This window comes from Homo sapiens, chromosome 7, assembly GCF_000001405.40.
Source record: "Homo sapiens chromosome 7, GRCh38.p14 Primary Assembly".
Classification (NCBI taxonomy): domain Eukaryota; kingdom Metazoa; phylum Chordata; class Mammalia; order Primates; family Hominidae; genus Homo; species Homo sapiens.
In genome coordinates, this window is record NC_000007.14 from 71,467,932 (window position 1) to 71,488,603 (window position 20,672).

At 45.1% G+C, this 20,672-nt stretch overlaps 1 protein-coding gene across 4 annotated transcripts in view, besides 5 other annotated features; it reads left to right on the top strand.

Annotated features, from left to right (window-relative positions):
- GALNT17 (polypeptide N-acetylgalactosaminyltransferase 17) overlaps positions 1 to 20,672 on the top strand; it is a 581,456-nt gene that overhangs the window by 335,788 nt on the left and 224,996 nt on the right. The window contains exon 6 of one of the 4 annotated variants that reach the window (XM_011516469.4): positions 18,501 to 20,641. The exons of the other annotated variants lie outside the window; for them this stretch is intronic. Within the exon in view, the coding sequence (XP_011514771.1) occupies positions 18,501 to 18,516 (16 nt within the window). The 3' untranslated portion in view covers positions 18,517 to 20,641. Of the gene's footprint in view, positions 1 to 18,500; positions 20,642 to 20,672 lie in introns of those variants that run through there. 4 annotated transcript variants of the gene reach the window in all.
- Positions 6,662 to 7,541: an enhancer, noted in NCBI's record as "H3K27ac hESC enhancer chr7:70939578-70940457 (GRCh37/hg19 assembly coordinates)". NCBI's record gives its function as "activates a minimal SCP1, AML or CMV promoter by ChIP-STARR-seq in primed H9 embryonic stem cells {active_cell/tissue: H9 hESC(primed)}" and the evidence as "EXISTENCE:reporter gene assay evidence [ECO:0000049][PMID:30033119]".
- Positions 10,020 to 10,520: an enhancer, noted in NCBI's record as "H3K27ac hESC enhancer chr7:70942936-70943436 (GRCh37/hg19 assembly coordinates)". NCBI's record gives its function as "activates a minimal SCP1, AML or CMV promoter by ChIP-STARR-seq in naive H9 embryonic stem cells {active_cell/tissue: H9 hESC(naive)}" and the evidence as "EXISTENCE:reporter gene assay evidence [ECO:0000049][PMID:30033119]".
- Positions 10,521 to 11,021: an enhancer, noted in NCBI's record as "H3K27ac hESC enhancer chr7:70943437-70943937 (GRCh37/hg19 assembly coordinates)". NCBI's record gives its function as "activates a minimal SCP1, AML or CMV promoter by ChIP-STARR-seq in naive H9 embryonic stem cells {active_cell/tissue: H9 hESC(naive)}" and the evidence as "EXISTENCE:reporter gene assay evidence [ECO:0000049][PMID:30033119]".
- Positions 12,693 to 13,445: an enhancer, noted in NCBI's record as "H3K27ac-H3K4me1 hESC enhancer chr7:70945609-70946361 (GRCh37/hg19 assembly coordinates)". NCBI's record gives its function as "activates a minimal SCP1, AML or CMV promoter by ChIP-STARR-seq in primed H9 embryonic stem cells {active_cell/tissue: H9 hESC(primed)}" and the evidence as "EXISTENCE:reporter gene assay evidence [ECO:0000049][PMID:30033119]".
- Positions 13,446 to 14,197: an enhancer, noted in NCBI's record as "H3K27ac-H3K4me1 hESC enhancer chr7:70946362-70947113 (GRCh37/hg19 assembly coordinates)". NCBI's record gives its function as "activates a minimal SCP1, AML or CMV promoter by ChIP-STARR-seq in primed H9 embryonic stem cells {active_cell/tissue: H9 hESC(primed)}" and the evidence as "EXISTENCE:reporter gene assay evidence [ECO:0000049][PMID:30033119]".

Consider the following 20,672-nt stretch of genomic DNA (forward strand, 5'->3'; position numbering starts at 1 on the left):
TGAGAACCTCTACACCAGCCAGGCCTTGCACCTGGATTTTATGAATGCATGTGGGAAAGACTATGGTATGGTCTAGGGCATTCTTTTCTCGTTATTTTAATTTCTTAAATTTTAGAGACAGGGTCTTGCTCTGTCACCCAGGCTGGAGTGCAAAGGCGTGACTGTACCTCACTGCAGCCTCAAACTCCTGGGCTCAAGTCATCCTCCTGCCGCAGTCTATAGTGTAGTTGGGACTGCAGATGCTCACCACCACACCTGGCTAGTTTTTAAAATTTTCTTGTAGAGATAGAGTCTCACTTTATTGCCCAGGCTGGTCTCCAGCTCCTTGCCTGAAGCAATCCTCCTGTATCATCCTCCCAAAGTGCTGGGATTACAGGTAGGAGCCATCACACCCAGTCTTTTCTAGGGCATTCTTCATATGATAGATGAGATTGCCCAAAATCCCACTGGCCCAAACTCCTCCCATCTTTTTATTTTATTTTATTTATTATTTTTTTTAATTGGAGACAGAGTCTCATTCTGTTGCCCAGGCTGGAGTGCAGTGGTGCCACCTCGGATCACTGCAGCCTCCATCTCCCAGGTTCAAGTGATTGTCCTGCCTCAGCCTCCTGAGCAGCTGGGATTATGGATGCCCACCACCATGCCTGGCTAATTTTTTTGTTTTTAGTAGAGCCATAGTTTCACCATGTTAGCCAGGATGATCTCAAACTCCTGACCTCAGGTGATCCTGCTACCTAGGCCTCCCAAAGTGCTGGGATTACAGGTGTGAGCCACTGTGCCCGGCCCTAGGCTCCTCCCATCTTGACCTGGGTGTTTGCGATGGTGTCTGGTGCTACACGGTGCATTTTAGGTTCTCCATCTGGGACTGCTTTTGTTCTTTCATTCCTTCTTCTTGTAGAGTATAATGCATTCATTCATTCATCTATTTGCTCAATAAAAAATTTGTTAAACTCTTATTATTTGTTGAGTTCAGGGTCATGATCATAAATCCCAACAGAAGCTCTTGCCTCTGGAAGGAGCTCAGAGATTGGTGGGGGACAGAAACGTTTATCACATCCTTAAACTGATGAGCTCACAATGACAAAGTGACATGCGTGCTCTGATGGTAGAGAGCACGGTGTTGGGAGAAGGTGGTTGGAGTGGAGATATGGTGTATATAGGAGTCCGGTAAGTGAAGGCACAGCAGAGGAGGGAAGGTGTTCTGGCTTCAGGAAAGGGTGGGGTATGTGAAGGTTCTAAGGTGGAAGGCCAATGACTGCAAGGAAGTCATTGTTGCTGAAGAGAAGGGATAGGTAATGGTGTAAAAGAAAGTTCTGGAGTCCCAAAGATCTGAGTTCAAATGATGGCTCTGCTGTGTCACCGTGTGCAAGTTATTTAAACTTTATAACCCTCAAATTCCTCATTTGTGAATTAACAGTATTCCTGTGGCCTAGGACTGGTCACGGAAAAACCTTCGACACATTAAATTACACAGAGTTTAACTGAGCAAAGAACGATTTACAAACCGGGCAACCCCTGAACCAGAATAGGTTCAGAGAGACTCTGTCGCAGCTGCATTGTGGAAGTAGATTTGTGGACAGAAAAAGGAAAATAACACACAGAAAATGGAAGTGAGGTATAGAAACAGCGTGATTGGGTACAAACGAAGATTGCTTAGCGCTTGCCTTATTTGAACATGGTTGGAACACTTGACCACTGTTGATTGGCCAAAACTCGGTGACTGGCAGAAGAGTAGGTGACCATCTGTTTATACATCCAGTTCTGTTACAGCTCACTATGGACAGAGAAACCTTCAGGGTGAATTTAAAATATGTAAGGAGGTAGCTTTAGGCTAAACTTAATTGAATAGGATTTAGTAATTCCCTCATTCTTTGAAGACTGACATCAGGGACCAGAGGAAAATATGACTTTTTCACACAATTAGAGATATTGTTCACTGGATTAAAATGTTGGTCTCAAGATATATAGTACCCTTACATTTAAGATTGTAGTCCAGGCCAGGTGCAGTGGCTCACGCCTATAATCCCAACACTTTGGGAGGCTGAGGCGGACGGATAACCTGAGGTCAGGAGTTCAAGACCAGCCTAGCCAACATGGTGAAACCCTGTCTCTACTAAAAATAAAAAACGTAGCCGTGCATGGTGGCAGATGTCCATAATCCCAGCTACTCAGGTGGCTGAGGCATGAGAATCACTTGAACCTGGGAGGCAGAGGCTGCAGTGAGCCAAGATCACACCACTGCACTGCAGCCTAGAAGACAGAGCGAGACTCCCTCTCAAAAAACAACAACAACAATAAAAGCAAACATAAGGTTGTAGTCCAGTTAGAAATTAACAGCAATGATACATTATAAAAGGTAAGAGACACAATGTGTCTTAAATACATATTTAAGTTTTGGAGGATGTTTGGTTGGTGGGTTGGTTCCTGGTATCTCCTGTGGTACAGAGGAGAAACAGCAGAAGCCAACTTGAACGGAGCACTTGAAATCGACAGGTCCTTGGCTTCGGTCATGCCTCTTCCCAGTGCTTCCTGTGTAAAGGATGTTTAGGTCTTTCCATTACTCATACACAGACCCAGATTCAGAAAGGAAAAACTCTTTGTAAACTGCTCACTTTTAGAAATGAAAAGATTGATCCAAGTGGAAGGAGGGAGACGATGTGATATAAAAACTGCAACCTAGGCAGGGATTTAAAATGAATCAGAAAACGAACAGACCAGAGAACGTGCTTAATTCAAAGACACCCAGGGGACCCTCAAGTTCTAAAAACAAGTGACTAGGAATCAAAGTCAGCTGTTTGATTTTTGTATTTTAGAGAGTGAGGGTGGGTGTTTTGCATATGAATAATATTTTGAATGCTATTGGATTTTTTTAATACAGTGGGATCATTGCTTTTCCCTATGTCCTTTTTTAAAAACTCTTTTTCATGCAAATTCATTAAATTTGAGATGCAGTAATATACTGGAATCTTGCCCATCTGATTCCCCAAACCACAGTTAATCCTTGGCACATTTTGAAAAGTATACATGTAGTTTTAAAATGGAATTATGTGTGACCCAAATGTGACGGCAGCCCTGTGGACATCCTTTCTTCTTAGCCTGCATTCTTCTAAAAGTAGAGCTCAGCATTTTTTTTCCTCTTTTTTCTGTTTTTGTTTTTTTTCTTTTCCCCAGTGTCTCACTCTATTGTCCAGGCTGGAGTGCAGCAATGTGATCTTGGCTGACTGCAACTTCAGGCTCCAGGCTCAAGTGATTCTCTCATCTCAGCCTCCCAAGTAGCTGGGACTACAGACAGGTGCCACCATATCCAGCTAATTTTTGTACTTGTCGTAGAGAAAGGGTTTCCCCATGTTGCCCAGGCTGGTCTCCGAACTGCTGGACTCAGGGGATCCGCCTACTTCAGCCTCCCAAAGTGCTGAGATTACAGGCAGGAGCCACTGGACCTGGCTGAGCTCAGCATTTTTTTTTTCCAAAAAAAAAAAAAAACAAAAAAAACCAAAAACCATATTTGGCTCTACAAAGCATATTTTGTGTAAAATAGATTCTATAGGCAATTAATGCAAGAGATCCTAGGGAAGGCTGTGTCACAAGCCACTGTAAAACTTAACAAAATTGCAATCACAGACCTAATTCTACCTTCCAAAGTCCTCATGGGCCACTGGTTATCCCCTCCTCCTCCTTGTCCTAGATCCTTCTCTTCTCCTTTTTTTATGCTAAGCAGGTTATCTCTTAGCTTTTTCAGTCTGAATTCTCAAGCTCAGAATCTCTTTTAGCAAACAAGAGCCTTCCAGCAATCCATCCTTTGCAGTTGAGGATTATAAACAACCAAGACCATTTTTTTCCCATCAGAGATATTTGTTTTTCAGTTTGCATGTGTGTATTGGCTGAATCCTAATATTTGCATTTCATGATTGTGTTCTGAACTGGGAGAAAAATAACCCAAATTTCCCTAAGCAGGTACATTATCCTGTCTGCCCTCAGAAAGCCTAATCTGTGTCTCATTTTTTTTTTTTTAATGTAGGTTGTTATCTTACTCATTTTGGGCTGCTGTAACAAAATAACATATACCGGGTGGCTTATAAACAACAAAAATTTATTTCCCACAGTTCTGGAGGCTGGGAAGTCCAACATCAAGGTGCTGGCAGATTCAGCATCTGGCAAGGGCCCATTTCCCGGTTAATACATGGCCCCTTCTCCCTGTATCATCACATAGTGGAAAGAGACAAGAGAGCTCTCTAGGGTCCCTTTTCTAAGGCATGGATCCCACTCATGAGAACTCCATCCTCATGACCTCATCACTTCCCGAAGGCTCCACCTCCTAAAACCATTGAGAGAATAACATTGGAGGTTAGGGTTTCAACATGAGAGTTTGGAGGGGACACAAACATTTAGCTCATAATGGTTATTGTGGAAGATGTTTACTGAACTTCTGAAGCAAATGACAAAGCTAGCTTAATGAGACATTAAAAGTTATTTAGGGCTGGGCGCGGTGGCTCATGCCTGTAATCCTGGCACTTTGGGAGACCAAGGCAGGCTGATCAAATGGTCAAGAGGTCAAGACCATACTGGCCAACATGGTGAAACCCCGTGTCTACTAAAATAAAAAAATTAGCTGGGTGTGATGGCGTGCGCCTGTAATCCCAGCTAGTCGGGAGGCAGAGGCAGGAGAATTGCTGGAACCCAGGAGGCAGAGGTTTCAGTGAGCCGAGATCGTGTCACTGCCCTCCAGCCTGGGGACAGAGTGAGACTTTGTCTCAAAAACTAAACTAAACTAAACTAAACTAAAATAAATAAAAATTAAAAAGTCATTTAGTCTGGATATCATATTATAACAGTGTTGCACAATGGACCCTCAGTCCAAATAATCCTTCTTAAATGTAGGACCTTGTGACCTTTGTTGACCAAAACAAAAACGAAAACCAACCCCACAAAGCCCAAACTGTGAAGTCTTGAAAGAGGTTTCTTCTGAGCCAATATGAGTGACCATAACCTGGGGAATGAGAGGTCCCAAGAAAGTGTGCCCAAGGTTGTCAGGTTACAGGTTGGCTTTATACAATTTATGAGACAAGAATTGTAGGTAAAATCATGAATCAGTACATGGAAAGTATACATTGGCTCAGCGTAAAGAGGCAGGATATCTTGAAGTGTGAGGGAGTTGGGGCTGGTATGAGGCCATTGGTGAATTCAAAGATTTTCTGATTGTCAGTTGGTTAAAAGAGTTAAGCTTTGTCTAAAGACTTGAAGTCAGTAGAAAGAAATGCTTGAGTTAAGAAAAGGGGAGCTGTGGAGACCAAAGTTCTTGTTATGTAGATGAAGCCTCCAGGTGGCAGGCTTCAGAGAGAATAGATGTTAAATATCTCTTTTCGGACCTTAATTTAGTGTCAGACTCTTAGCTAATCCCTTCTAGACCTGGTAAAGGCCTGGTTGGTTTAATAGAGATTCTCTGCAGATACACATTTTCCTCAGAAAAGACAGCTTTGCAAAGCCATTTCAAAATAAGTCAAAGCAATATATTTTGGGGTAAAACATTTGGATTTCCTTCAGGGTCTGGCATGTGACACTATACCAGAGTCAGGTTGCAATTTGGTATCTTACTGCCACAGTGAGTCTGTTTTCTCAGTCTTATGATCTCTATTTTAATGTTAATGCTGGTCAGTTGTGCCTAAACTCCAAAAGGGGTGGGGCATAATGAGGCTTGTCCATCCTTTCTTCTCTTCATGGCCAGGAATCCAATGTTTCAGGTTTCTCTGGGGTCCTTTTGGCCCAGAGGGGCTTCATTCAGTCAGTGGGGTGGCCTAGGCTTTTATTTTTGCCTTACACTTTGGACAAGTCTCCTAACCTGTCAGGGACTCAATTTTATAATCTGTAAAATGGGGACAAATATCAGTGCTTATTGTTACCAGAAAAAGTTCACGATCCAGATCCCAAGAGAGGGTTCTTGGATCTCACAAAAGAAAGAATTCGGTGCAAGTCCAAGGAGTAAAGTAAAAGCAAGTTTATTCAGAAAGTAAAGGAATAAAGAATGGCTACTCCATAGGCAGAGTAGCAGTTTGGGCTGCTGGACTAAGGATACTTATAGTTATTTCTTGATTATATGCTAAACAAGGTGTGGATTACTTATGAGTTTTCCAGGAAAGGGGTGGGCAATTCCTGGAACTGAGGGTTTCTCCTCTCTTTAGCCATATAGGGTAACTTCTGGATATTGCCATGGCATTCGTAAACTGTCATGGTGCTGGTGGGCATGTCTTTAGCATGCTAATGCATTATATTTAGCATATAATGAGCTGTGAGGATGACCAGACGTCACTTTTGCCACCATCTTGGTTTTCATGGATTTGGGCAAGGCTTCTTTACCGCAGCCTGTTTTATCAGCAAAATTTTTTTTGACCTGTATCTTGTGCTCACCTCCCATCTCATCCTGTGACTAAGAATGCCTCACTTCCTGGCAATGCAGCCCAATAGGTCTCAGCCTTATTTTACCCAGCCCCTATTCAAGATGGAGTTGCTCTGGTTTGGACGCCCCTGACATTGTGTCACAGGCTTGTTGTGAGCATGAATGAGTTACTATCAGTAAAGTCTAACATCCAGAAAGGTAAAATTATGCCTCAATATAAAATGAAAATGAGGAACATATTTTATTCAACTTATTAATTCATGGGAGAATCAATAAGGTGTTAAGTCCAGTTCAAATGAGAATTTAACTTACAGAGGTGTATATTCTCCACCAGAAAAAAAATCATTACAAGAGTCATTTGCGGTGCTGTTAGTTTCCTACAACTTTGCAGCTATCCCTACAGCAATGGGCTGAAAAATGCCTTCCACCCAAGATACCCACATTCCAATCCTAGAACCTGTGAATGTTACTTCATGTGGCAAAAATACGACTTTACAGTTGTGATTCATTCACTCCACAACAGTCTCCAGATGGGGAGATTATACTGGATTTTCCAGGTGGCCCTAGAAGGAGAGAGGCAGAGGAAGATTTGACCCAGACAGGAGATTAGAAGGTGGTGTGACCACAGAGACAGAGACTGAAGGGATGCAGCCGCAAGCCAAGGAATGCCGGCAGCCACCAGATGCTGGAAGAGGCAATGAATGGCCTCTCCCCTGGAGCATTCAGAGGGAACATGATCCTGCTGACACCTTGATTTTGTTCCCCAGTGAAACTGATTTCAGACTTCTTGCCTCCAGAATGTGAGAGAATCAATTTCTGTTGCTTTAAGCCAGTGGTCCCCAACCATGTTGGCACCAGGGACTGGCTTCATGGAAGATAGTTTTTCCACAGACCAAGGGTGAGGATGATTTCGGGATGATTCAAGCACATTCCATTGATTGTACACTTTGTTTTTATTATTATTACATTGTAATATATAATGAAAGAATTATACAACTCACCATAATGTAGAATCAGGGGGAGCCCTGAGCTTGTTTTCCTGCAACTAAACGGTCCCTTCTGGGGGTGATGGGAGACAGTAACAGATCATCAGGCATTAGATTCTCATAAGGAGCGTGCAACCTAGATCCCTCGCATGCACAGTTCACAATAGGGTTTCTGCGTCCATAAGAATCTAATGCCGCTGCTGATCTGACAGCAGGTGGAGCTCAATCAGTAATGGGAGTGGTGGGGAGCAGCTGTAAATGCAGATGAAGCTTCGCTGGCTCGCCCACCACTCACCTCCTGCTATGTGGCCAGGTTCCTAACAGGCTGCAGACCAGTACCTGTCTGCGGCCCTGGGGTTGGGGTCCCCTGCTTTAAGCCACCTAGTTTGTAGTCATTTCTTACAGTTGCCACAGGAAATTGCCTACAAAGTCGCAAAGAGCTTTCTCAACAGAAAGTTAATCAAAGATGCATACTCTATAGAAACAGGTATCCCCAGTGAGTCTGCTAGATGATACTCAGCACCTCACTTAAAAGACACCCAGGAATCTCCTACCCATTCCTAAGTTTGGACAGTTTTTCCTGACAATTTTAGTCTACAAAATGCTTGGAATATATATAAAGTAATTCATAGAAAGTAAGCATTACTATATAAATTTTAGTGATACTACTACTCCTCCTACTAATTATAATAATTATCATCATCATCATCATCAACCACCATCATTATTCTCTTTTATCTTCTTGGCTTGTTCTTTTCACTTGATGGGTTGTTTTGAGTGGGAACCATGATTCTCTTGACTGACAGGCTTCCAGACCCAGTGGAAGAGAATAACGGGATTATGAGTGGGAACTCCTTGGGAACACCCAGGAGTTCAAGGCTGCAGTGAACCATGATTGTGCCACAGAGGTTGGTGTTTTCACTGTTAGCTGTGAGAGTGCGAAGGCACAAGATGTTAGCAGTGGAAGACCAAGGTGTCAGTGATAGGCTTGGGGTTACCCTGCCCTTCCAGCTGGATATCTTGAGCTGCTGTGGAGATGCAAACAGCATAAAGGACAATTGAATGGAAAGATGTGTGGTTTTCAGTGAACGAATATCCCGGAGAGCGTGATGAGGGTGAAAAAATACTTACTCACAAATCCCCTGAACAGGGGAAGCAAAGGTGGTATTGCCAAGTGAAAATATTTTGTTTAAAAAAAAAAAAAAAGAGTGAAGTGAAGAAAACCTATAGGTTGACTAATTGTTGAAGGTATGGAGTGTGGCATTCAGCAGCATTTTAAGTTAATCTAGGCCAGTGGTTTTCAAGGGGGTAGGTGGATTTTGTCATCCAGGGGATATGTGGCAAGTCTGGAGACATTTTTGGTCATCGCAGCGGGGAGTGCTATTGATGTCTAGTTGGTAGAGAGCAGGACTGCCACTAAAGATCTTAACAATGCACAGGGCAGTTTCTTACAACAAAGAATTATCTGGCCCCAGGTGTCACTAATGCTGAGGCCAGGAAACTCAGCTTTAGGGTGAGAATTCCAGACTCACAGAATCAGAGTCCTGTAAGGGACCTTAGCAAGTGTGAGGTTCTGTGATTTTCAAAGGACATCTTTCAGATCCCACAGGGTAGGGGGAGGCGCCAGGAGCCCAGGGACCAGAGAGGCAGTGGAGGGTGTGGAGGGTGGATCTCGTGGTGTTACCACATCACCGGCATCTCTCTCCTCTGCAATGGGTGTTGGTGCAAGGATGAGTATTTCTGCTGACAGAAATATATAAAGTAACTATTCATAGTAAGCATTACTATGTAAGTTTTAGTGATACTACTACTACTAATAATTAATTATCATCATCATCATTATCATCAATCACCATCATCATTCCCTTTTATGTACTTGGCTGGTTCTCTTAACTTGGTGGGTTGTGTTGAGTGGGAACCAATGATTATCTTGACTGACAGGCTTCCCTGCCCAGTGGAAGAGAATAATGGGATTATGAGTGGGAACTCCTCAGAACATCCAGGAGTTCAAGGCAGTGAGCCATGATTGTGCCACGGAGGTTGGTGTTTTCACCGTTAGCTGTGAGAGTGCAAAGGCATAAGATGTTAGCAGTGGAAGACCAAGGTGTCACTGATCGTTTCGAGGTTACCCTACCCCTCCAGCTGGCTGTCTTCAGCAGTTGAGGAGACGCAAACTGCACAGAGGACAATGAAATGGAAAAATGTGTGGTTTTCAATGAGCAAATATCATGGAGGGCAGTACCTAGAGCCGGGCATAGTGACTGGCACCTACAGTCTCAGCTACTCAAGAGGATTGCTGGAGCCCAGACGTTCGAGGCTGCAGTGAGCTATGATCGCATCACTGCACTCCGGCCTGGGCAACAGGCCAAGATCCTGTATCTAAAAAAACAAAAAAAAAGGTTGAAAATAACTAGTGTGTTTTTATTTTGTGTTGAGGAATAAAAAATTAACAGATGTGGTCACTAATAGTACCGGGAATCCTGGCTGCCTCTGGTGCCTAAGCCCACCCTTCCCAATGTCTATTCAGACCTTGTTAGAAAAACCTATGGGGTTTCCAACCCCATTTCTGCAAATCTTGCCGACATGCGACATGAGCTGGTTTAATTTCTGACCATAAAAACACATTAAACAGGATACAATAAAAAGAGTCCTTTCTTTGTTAAGAATCTTATTGATACAATTTACTAAGGCATTTACCGTGTCTACCCTGTACATGGCTGTGAACATTTAGAGGGTGTAGGATTTAGGGCTAAAATTATCCCATCTCCGATATATATTCTGGACACTGGAGTTTTAGATAAATCCGTAACTTATGTTTACGTCTCTTCTAAACATAGATGGTGGGAACTGGAACCAGCGTGCTTGTAGCTGGGGGAGAAAAATAAAGGCACACTGGCTGTGGGAACATTTATCCTTCCTGGTGGCTATGGCAAACCTGTGATCCTATGATCACTCTCCTTATGTTTGGAGGAGTTTCCACCCTCTGAGCCCCACCTTTGTTTGTTTTGGGTTTTTTGTTCTGAGACAGTGTCTCACTCTGTTACCCGAGCTAGAGTGCAGTGTGGCATGATCATGGCTCACTGCAGCCTGGAACTCACAGGCTCAAGCAATCCTCCCCCCTCAGCCTCCCAAGTAGCTGGAACCATAGGCGTGCCCCACCATGCCCGGCTAATTTTTGAATTTTTCTATAGCAATGGGGTCTCCCTATGGTTGCCCAAGCTGGTCTCAAACTCCTGGGCTCAACCTATCCTCCCACCTCAACCTCCCAAAGTGCTGGGTTATCAGGGGTGAGCCACCGCACCCAGCCTGAGTCCTGCCTTTCCAAGATCAAAGTAAAAACCAGCTTCACTGCCTCCCTTGTAGCTAGACCATGTCCTGGGAGCCAGGCTTCTCCAGTCAGACCCACAGGAAGGGTGGCTTCACAGACAAAGGTCTGTGAAGATAGGGGTAGGAGGAGGATGAAAATGTATCATGCAAAACCCATCCTGATGACAAGAAGGAGAGACATTTAACTTTGAAAGGCAAAAATTGTACCAGTGTTAATGGCGGCATCTCATTTCCTGTGTGGACAAAGTGGCAGCTGGATTTAGGAACCCTCTTTTGATAAATCCCTTTTCTCTGAAACTAGCTCAATTTGGTTCTGGAGACCATAAGTAAAATCACTGCCTGATACAGCAGGAGAAATGTTACTGTGGAAATATCTCAGAGACCAAATCACTTGGCACTTCGCAGTTTTGTGAAATACTAACTGTCACCATCAGACAAACCTTCACTGCTCCCACCTCCTCAGCATTGCCTGCCCTAATTAGGTGGGTTTTGGAAGAACTCACTAGCAACCATAACCTTTAAATAGACCAGAAATTGTCTTTTACAGTGGATTCAGAATCAGTAGCTTTATAAGAAGGGCTTTGCTCAGTTCATGATGACTCTATGCATGATTGACTCCATCTCTGTACCTGAATTACAAAAAAAAAAAATGTGGCAAGTAAAGAAAAGGCAAAATGTTATTTTTTTCCCCACTCAGTTTTGCACTGGGGCTCAGCACGTATGGTTTCAGGTAGGCTCTGCCTTAACATATTCCTGGAATAAGCTTCAGAAAAGAGGCTGTGACAGGTGGAGACAGCTTCCTTGATTATAGCTCAGCATGGTTCAAAGGACACTCTGGTAGTTAATTGATTCAGGCAAGATAATTTGTGGGCAATAAACAGCACAGACCTTTTATTTTCAACTGGTCAGTTAGAACGAAGTTTCTCTAATTCAGTCTTAGAGAATGACTTTTTTTTTTTCCTGTGCTGGAACTCATTCATTTGCATATAGAAAGATGTTTAAACCTCTGTAGAAATGCCCAGAGATTGTAAAATCTAACATTATGTTTGCAAAGATGGCATCAAGCTCCTTCCTCCTCAGACATAAGAAAATTGCATTTGAACAGGCCGGGTCTTGAAAACCAGCTGATGGTGTCTGAGTCAAAGATGGAGCTGATATTCTCAGGCAATGGGTCCACTTTGGGGCCACTCCAGCTGTTTTTCTAGGAAATCTTCCAAAGCAAACACCACAGTGGTGCTATTCCTGTGAAATGGTGGCACGTCTTCTTCTGTGATCATGGCCAGAGACAACTTCTTTCTTTGAAATACATGCAAAAGGTTTTGCTCAGCCTCTGGAGTAAACCCCATCTCAACAGAGCAGCTCTATCCTTTGAGAATATGATTTTGACATCTGATGGACTCCCAATATTTGATGCTTGTTTTCAAGGCCACACTAACCCCAGTTGGGCTGAGATTAAAATGAGGTCCATAGTAACAGTCACGGGTCCACAGCTCTTGGAGACCCCCTCTTTTTTTGGAGTCTTTTTTTTTTTTTTTTTTTTTTTTTTTTGAGACAGAGGCTCTCTCTGTCACTCAGGCTGGAGTGCAATGGTGCAATCTCAGCTCACTTCAACTTCTGCCTCCTGGGTTCAAGCGATTCTCCTGTCTCAGCCTCCCGAGTAACTGTGATTATAGGTGTGCCCCACCACACCTGGCTAATGCCCTCTGCGGACTCTTGCACAGTCCTGGCCATGCCTCTCCTGGGCAGGGTCTCTGCAGTCAGTCCTCTTGTCCACCAGCTTCATGCTTTCCATTTTCCTCTCCTACTCATACGTGGCATCCTCTGCAATGCCTCGAACAGCCAGTGCAGTGCATGGTGACTTGGTGACACATTACTGACCAGAGACACTACTGAGCTCTGTCGCTCATGTCACCCAGGCTGGAGTGCAATGGCACGATCTTGGCTCACTGCAACCTCTGCCTTCCAGGTTCAAGCGATTCACCTGCCTCAGCCTCCCGAGTAGCTGGGATTACAGGCATGTACCACCACACCCAGCAAATTTTTATATTTTTAATAGAGAAAGGGTTTCAACATGTTGGCCGGGCTGGTCTCGAACTCCTGGCCTCAAGTGATCCACCCACCTGGGCCTCCCAAAGCACTGGGATTACAGGCATGAGCCACCATGCCCAGCTAAAGCCACTGATTTCTGAAGTCAAGGATGTTGTCTTTCATCATTGCCAAAGTGGCTGGTGCCAACCCCATGGAGGCCTTGTGCTTTCAAACCTACTAGAGATTTTCTTGAATGAGCCCTTTCATGACAGCCCAGGCAACACAGAGCTACAGAGGGAGGGAACCTCTGCCACCAGCCTGTGACCATAATAAGACAAACAGACCACATCCTGCACTGGCTGGCACCTCTCTTCTCTAAGTCTGGTCCCTGGCTTTGCCCCAAACTGGTGCATTTTTCCCAGGAGGCAGCTTGGAATCCCTTACAAAAGGCCATTTGACAAGTCCTCTGGAAAGACTGACCTTAGATGAAAGCTGGGTGTGGGCCGGGCACAGTGGCTCACGCCTGTAATCCCAGTACTTTGGGAGGCTGAGGCAGGCAGATCACTTGAGGTCAGGAATTCGAGACCAGCCTGGCCAACATGGTGAAACCTCATCTCTAGTCAAAAAAATACAAAAATTAGTCAGGGGTGGTGGGTGCACATGTGTAATCCCAACTACTGGGGAGGCTGAGGCAGGAGAATCGCTTGAACCCGGGAGGCAGAGCTGCAGTGAGCGGAGATCGCACCACTGCACTCCAGCCTGGGCGACAGAGCGAGACACTGTCTCAAAAAAAAGAAAAAGGCTGCATGTGGTGGGTGGCCTGGCCATATGTGTGCTGGGCCTGGCTGAACTACACTTCCCAGAATTCTCTTCCTTGTGTGTTTTCCAGTAGAGTGGACTGCAAGAGGGATACCTATGGGAGATGTGGAAGGTGCAGGGGGAAACAGCAGCCGCTTTGTAGCTCACCCACATTACTGCTCATCTGCTGCCTCCACTTGTTGGCTGGGCCTGCTGCAACTCCACCTGCCCCTGGAGCCCCTCCAGGTTCTCCCACAGCTGGACTTTGTGTGGCTGTTGGCTCCACCGTGAAGGGCCCTGGCTTCTGCCTGACACGAAACCCAAGGTCAGAGGCAATAAGGCACTTCGACAAGTTTCATTCGTACTCCTGGGCTCCAGCTTAAGTTTGTGGGTTTCAGCTTGTTCTTGCTTGCTTAGGTTATAGCCGTCATTTCCCCTTCCTGGCTGTCTTCCCTGTGGACTGCAGCTGCCAGCATCAGAAGGAAAGGAAAGAAGGAAAGACAAAGTCAGTTCTAGAGACTGCTTAACCAGCTCCCACAGTTGCATGAGGTCAAATCCTTGCAAAAAGTCATAAAAGTGATATATATGTGCATTGATGTATAGGTATACATATATGTATATGTGTGTGTGTGTGTGTGTGTGTGTGTGTGTGTATGTATGGTCATGCATTGCATAATGACAAGGATACATTTTTTTTTTTTTTTTTGAGACGGAGTCTCGCTCTGTCACCCGGTCTGGAGTGCAGTGGTGCGATCTCGGCTCACTGCAACCTCTGCCTCCCGGGTTCAAGTGATTCTCCTGCCTCAGCCTCCAGAGTAGCTGGGATTACAGGCACCTGCCACCACGCCAGGTGATTTTTTGTATTTTTAGTAGACACAGGGTTTTGCCATGTTGGCCAGGCTGGCCTCCAACGCCTGACCTCATGTGATCTGCCTGCCTCGGCCTCACAAAGTACTGGGATTACAGGTGTGAGCCACTGCACCTGCCGACAGGGATACATTCAAAGAAATGCATCATTAGGCAATTTCATCATTGAGCAAACATTATAGAGTGCACTTATACAACCCTAAGTGGCCTAGCCTATTACACTCCTAGCCTGTATGGTAAAGCGTGTTGCTCCTAGAACAAGAACCTGTAGAGCACGTTGCTGTACTGAATACTGTAGGCAATTGTAACACAATGCTAAGTATTTGTGTACCTAAGCATACCTAAACATAGACAGGGTACAGTGAAAACATGGTATAAAGCAGCAGCCCCCAATCTTTTTAGCACTAGGGGCCGGTTTTGTGAAAGTCAGTTTTTCCAGGGCTGCAGGGAAGGGTGGGGAGGTGTCAGGATGAAACTGTTCCACCTTAGATCATGAGGCATTACTTAGATTATCAGAAGGAGCATGCACCCTAGATCCTGCACATGCGTAGTTCACAAGAGTGTTCATGCTCCTATGAGAATCTAATGTCACTGCTGATCTGACAGGAGGCAGAGCTCGGTGGGTAAGGCGAGTGATGGGGAGTGGCTGTAAATACAGATGAAGCTTTGCTCGCCTGCGGGCCGCTCACCTCCTGCTGTGCAGCCTGGTTCCTGAAAGGTCACAGATCAGTACTGGTCCAAGGCCTGGGGGATTGGGGACCTCTGGTATAAAAGACTAATCATGCACCTGTCTAAGGCACTTACCATGAATGGAGCTCACAGCACTGAAAGTTGCTCTGGGTGAGTCAGTGAGTGAGTGGTGAGAAAATGAGTGGTTCATGCCTGTAATCCCAGCACTTTGGGAGGCCAAGGCAGGCGGATCACCTGAGGTCAGGAGTTCAAGACCAGCCTGGGCAGCGTGGCCAAACTCTGTCTCTATTAAAAATAAAAAATCAGCCTGGCGTGGTGGCAGGTGCCTGTAATCCCAGCTACTCTGGAGGCTGAGGCAGGAGAATTGCTTGAACCCGGGAGGTGGAGGTTGCAGTGAGCTGAGATTGTACCACTGCACTCCAGCCTGGGCAACAGAGTGAGACTCCTTCCAAAAATAAAAAAGGAAAGAAAGAAAATGTGAAGGCCTAGAACATTACTGCACACTACTGGAGGTAGACTTTGTAAACACTGTATGGTTAGGCTACGCTATTTTTTTTGAGACATTGTCTCACTCTGTCACCCAGGCTAGAGTGCAGTGGCATTATCTGCTCACTGCAACCTCCACCTCCTGGGTTCAAGCAATTCTTATACTAATTTATTCTTTTTAAAATCCCTTCTTCAGTGACAAATTAACCTTTGCTTACTGTAACTTTGTAACTTTATAAAGGTTCTAATTTTTTGTAAATTTTTGGACACTCTGACAATAATCACTTAGCTTAAAACACATTGTACAGCTGTACAAAAATATTTTCTTTCTTTATAGCTTTAATCTATAAACTTTTTCCAACTAATTTTTTTTTCTCTTTACTCCCTAAAAACGAAGACACGAACACACACATTAGCCTAGGCCTACACAGGGTCAGGATCGTCAATATCACCATCTTCCACCTTCTTGTCTTGTCCCACTGGTAGGTCTTCAGGGGCAATAACACACGCATGGAGCTGTCATCTCCTATGATAACAATGTATTTTTCTTGAATCCCTCCTGAAGGACTTGCCTGAGGCTGTTTTACAGTTACTTTTTGTATAAATAGAAGGAACACACTCTAAAATAATGATGAAAGTATAGTGTAGTAAATACAGAAACCATTAGGTCTTTTACTATGATTGTCAAGTATTATATACCGGGCCAGATGCGGTGGCTCATGCCTATAATCCCAACACTTTGGGAGACTGAGGCGGGCGGATCACTTGAGGTCAGGAGTTCAAGACCAGCCTGGGCAACATGGCGAAACCTCGTCTCTACTAAAAATGCAAAAATTAGCTGGGTGTGGTGGCATGCACCTGTAATCCCAGCTACTCGGGTGGCTGAGGCAGGAGAATGGCTTGAACTCAGGAGGCAGAGGCTGCAGTGAGATGAGATCGTACTACTGCACTCCAGTCTGGGTGACAGAGTGAGACTCTGCCTCAAAAAAAACTAGTATGTATTGGACATAATTGTATGTGTGATACTTTTATGACTGGCTGATGAGTAGCATCACCAGCATTGCCACAAACATGTGAGTAATGCATTGTGCTATGATGTTATGGCAGCTACGACATCATTAGGTGATAGGCATTCTTCAGCTACATTATAATCCTGTGGGCCCACTGTCCTACATGCAATCTGTCATTAACCCAAACTTCATTATGTGGTGCATGACTGCATATATAGGTTTCCTATTGGTTTTATTTCTCAGGTTGAACCCAGACTGATACACTGGGAACCCAGCATCAGGATTTTTTTTTTTTTTTTTTTTGACAGAGTCTTACTCTTGTTGCTCAGGCTGGAGTGCAATGGTGCAATCTCGGCTCACTGCAACCTCCACCTCCTGGGTTCAAGCAGTTCTCCTACCTCAACCTCCCAAGTAGCTGGGATTACAGGCATGGGCCACCACACCTGGCTTTTTTTTTTTTTTTTTTTTTTTTTTAGTAGAGGCAAGGTTTCACCATGTTGGTCAAGCTGGTCTTGAACTCTTGACCTCAGGTGATCCACCCACTTCAGCTTCCCAAAGTGCTGGGATTACAGGTGTGAGCCACCATGCCCAGCCAGGATTTTTTTTTTTAAGACAGGATCTTGCTCTGTTGCTCAGGCTGGAGTGCAGTGGCACCATCATAGCTCACTGCAGCTTCAACCTCCTGGGCTCAAGCGATCCTCCTGCCTCAGCCTCCCAAATAGCTGGAACTACAGGCATGCAACACCATGCCCAGCTAATTTTTGCAGAGATGGGGTTTTGCTGTGTTGCCCAGGCTGGTCTTGAACTCTTGGGCTCAAGCAATCATCCCGCCTTGGCGTCCCAAAGTGCTGGGATTACAGGTGTGAGCCACCACACTTGGCATTGTCAGGCATTTTTGTTCTTCTAGTCTTAGGTCTTACTTGGCCTGTGCTTTCGATTCTATCCCAGGAGTGCCAGTCCTAGCTTCTGACTGCCCATCCTGGCTCAGAGTTCATTCTTTAGAAAGTGTCTCATGGCAGGTCCTTGACCTGTGGTGCCATCACTGAGAGATCACCTGGCCACCTTTCACCCAGACACTCCCACAGCTTAGTGCAGATGGTTTTGAGGATATCCACTGTATCTATTCCAATTTTCTGCTCAAGAAATACCTCTTATTCTACACAGTTAAGGAGCAAGACAGCTAAGACATGGTTTATGGCCTTGTCATTCGCCATCATTGTAGCGCCCTCAGACCTCCTGTGGGTTCTGACATTTAAAAAATTCAGTTGTAATCCATCCTCTGAAATCCATCAGTCTGAAAAGGCTGGATGAATATTTTCTTTGTCAACCAGAAATTGTGTAAGCTATATAGTCAGATACAAGGAGGCAGTGCCCTTTTCTTAAGGAATTCATAATCTAATTGTTACGTTTCTCTGATTGGAGCAAAATGGTGTTTTACTGACCCAGATTTTATGTTATTCAAACAAATAAAGCTCCAGCTACCAATTTCAAAAGAGCCACTGGACTTAATGGGCATTTAATATATTTCCTCGGCCAGGCACAGTGGCTCATGCCTATAATCCCAGCACTTTGGGAGACTGGGGCAGGGCGGATTACTTGAGGTCAGGAGTTCAAGACCAACCTGGGCAACATGGCAAAATCCCATTTCTACTAAAAATGCAAAAATTTGCCGGGCGTGGTGGCACATGCCTGTAATCCCAGCTACTTGGGAGGCTGATGAGGCAGGAGAATCACTTGAACCTGGGAGGTGGAGTTTGCAGTGAGCTGTGATCACACCACTGCACTCCCAGCCTGAGTGACAGGGCAAGAGCCTGTCTGAAAATAATAATAATAATAATAATAATAATAATAATAATAATAATAATAATAATAATAGTAAATAATATATTTCCTCCCTGGTCTTGACTTCATTTGCAGTGACAGATTCTCATGACTTCCTGGATTGTTGAGACTTTCCCATGTGAACCATAGTTCATTGCTTCTCACAACAGCAGACAGCTCTTGGTGCTCCACAGTGCTGTAGGGGCGCTGTGACACATGCCGAAGAGCCTCTCTCTTCTGGACCAAGGTACTCAGGCCAGGCATGATGGTTCACACCTACAATCAAAAGGCAGGCGGATTGCTTGAGCCCAGCAGTTCAAGACCAGCCTGGGCAACATAGTGAGATCCCATCTCTACAATAAGTCAATTAAAAAAAAAAAAGCCAAGCATGGTGATATGTGCCTGTAAGTCCACCTACTCAGGAGGCTGAGGTGGGAGGATTCCCGAAGCCCAGGAGGTCGAGGCTGCAGTGAGCTGTAATGGTGCCATTGCACTTCAACCTGGGCAACAGGGTAAGACCCTGTCCAAAAAAAAAAAACAAAAAAAAACGCACTTCTTGCTCCTGCTGGTGGATTGTTGCCTGTTGACAGCTCACAGCCAAGTTCCTCCCTAAGTATTGAGATGACTGCAGGGTGCTGCCCTGCCTGGGATGATGCACTTCCCAATTATGTCCCTCCTCCCTTGACTTTTCAGTGTGGGACACGAAGCTTCAGCAACCCTGCCTGATTCAGGACATCTCTGCAGGGCAGCTGTGCGTCAGAGCTCCCCGAGGAACTGGCTGAGGCATCTGTTGGAATTGCATCATTTTTCAGTGTCTCCTCTGATCAGTCTGCTTCCCTCACTCCCTGTACCCAAATCTCCATTTCAGAGCTTGCTGCCAGGGATGGGGCCTATGACAAGTGTCTCCATGAGGGTAGTGATGTTTCTCCTCCTTTGTTATTTCCCAGGGTTTTGCTAAGTTGTCTGGAGGAGGAAAAACATGGGTTTGTTCTTAATCCTTCCTCGGCTTACTTGATATAGAATGGAGAAGACCAGGAGCAACTGGAAGCTGGAAACAAGAGCAGATGAGTCAGAAGTTTGGAGACAGGCACCAAAAAGTCCATCCAGCGTCCAGGGAATAGTTGAGAGTTAAACACCAAGAAGAGTCAAGCCAAGCCTGGATGAGTCAGGTCATGCCTATAATCCCTGCACTTTGGGAGGCCATGGTGGGAAGATTGCATGAACCCAGGAGTTTGAGACCAGTGTGGGCAACATAGTGAGACCCCATCTCTATAAAAGAATTAAAAATAAAAATTAGCTGGGTGTGGTAGTGCATACCTGCAGTCTCAGCTACTCAGGAGGCTGAGACGGGAAGCAGAATATTACAGAATTATAGTAGTATTAAAAATAATGGCAAAACCCACAGTTACTTTTGCACCAACCTAATAGTAGTGATAACAGGGTCAGGAAGTGAGAGAAGCCAGAACCATATGACATCCTGGTCCAGGTACTGGCCTAGTTGTGAAATTGCCCCACATATAGGTGGCCAGCCATCAAGATCCCAGTTTTGGAGCCGGGCATGGTAGCTCACACCTATAATTCCAGTGATTCAGGAGGCTGGGGCAGGAGGATCACTTGAGGCCAGGAGTTTGAGACCAGCCTAGACAACATAGCAAGAGACCCTGTCTGTATAACAAGTTTAAAAATTAACTGGGCGTGGTGGTGCATGATGGTAGTCCCAGCTACTCGGGAGACCAAGGCGGAAGGATCGCTTGAGTCCAGATTCCAAGCTGCAGTGAGCTATGATTTTGTCACTACACTCCAGCCTGGGCAACAGAGCAAGACCCTATCTCTTAAAAAAAAAAAAAAAAAAAACAGCCAAGGTAAGAGGCAAGCCTTAGACAGTGCGCCCAAGAACCAATGAGATAAGGAGCCCAGGGATAGACTTGGTGGAGATTATGGGATGTCTGGGCAGGCAAGCTAATGAGGGCTCATAGCAGAGAGCAAGGCCCAGCATCCCATCTGCCTGGAGTACAGCGTAGTCCTTCCAGTCTTTGCTGTGGGGAATTGTCAAGGAACTTCCTGGACAAAAATCACCTTCTGCACAGTGAGCAGAATGGGACCCCGTTGCTCATTAGAAACACAACCTGGAGTGGAGTTTCTTAAATGGGAATGGCATCAGGATTGTCTGGAGGGCTTCTAACACAATCCCAGCTCCACCCCCAGATATTCCCACTGGGCAAGCCAGGACTTGCCCTTCTTTTTTTTTTTTTTTTTTTTTTGGAGACA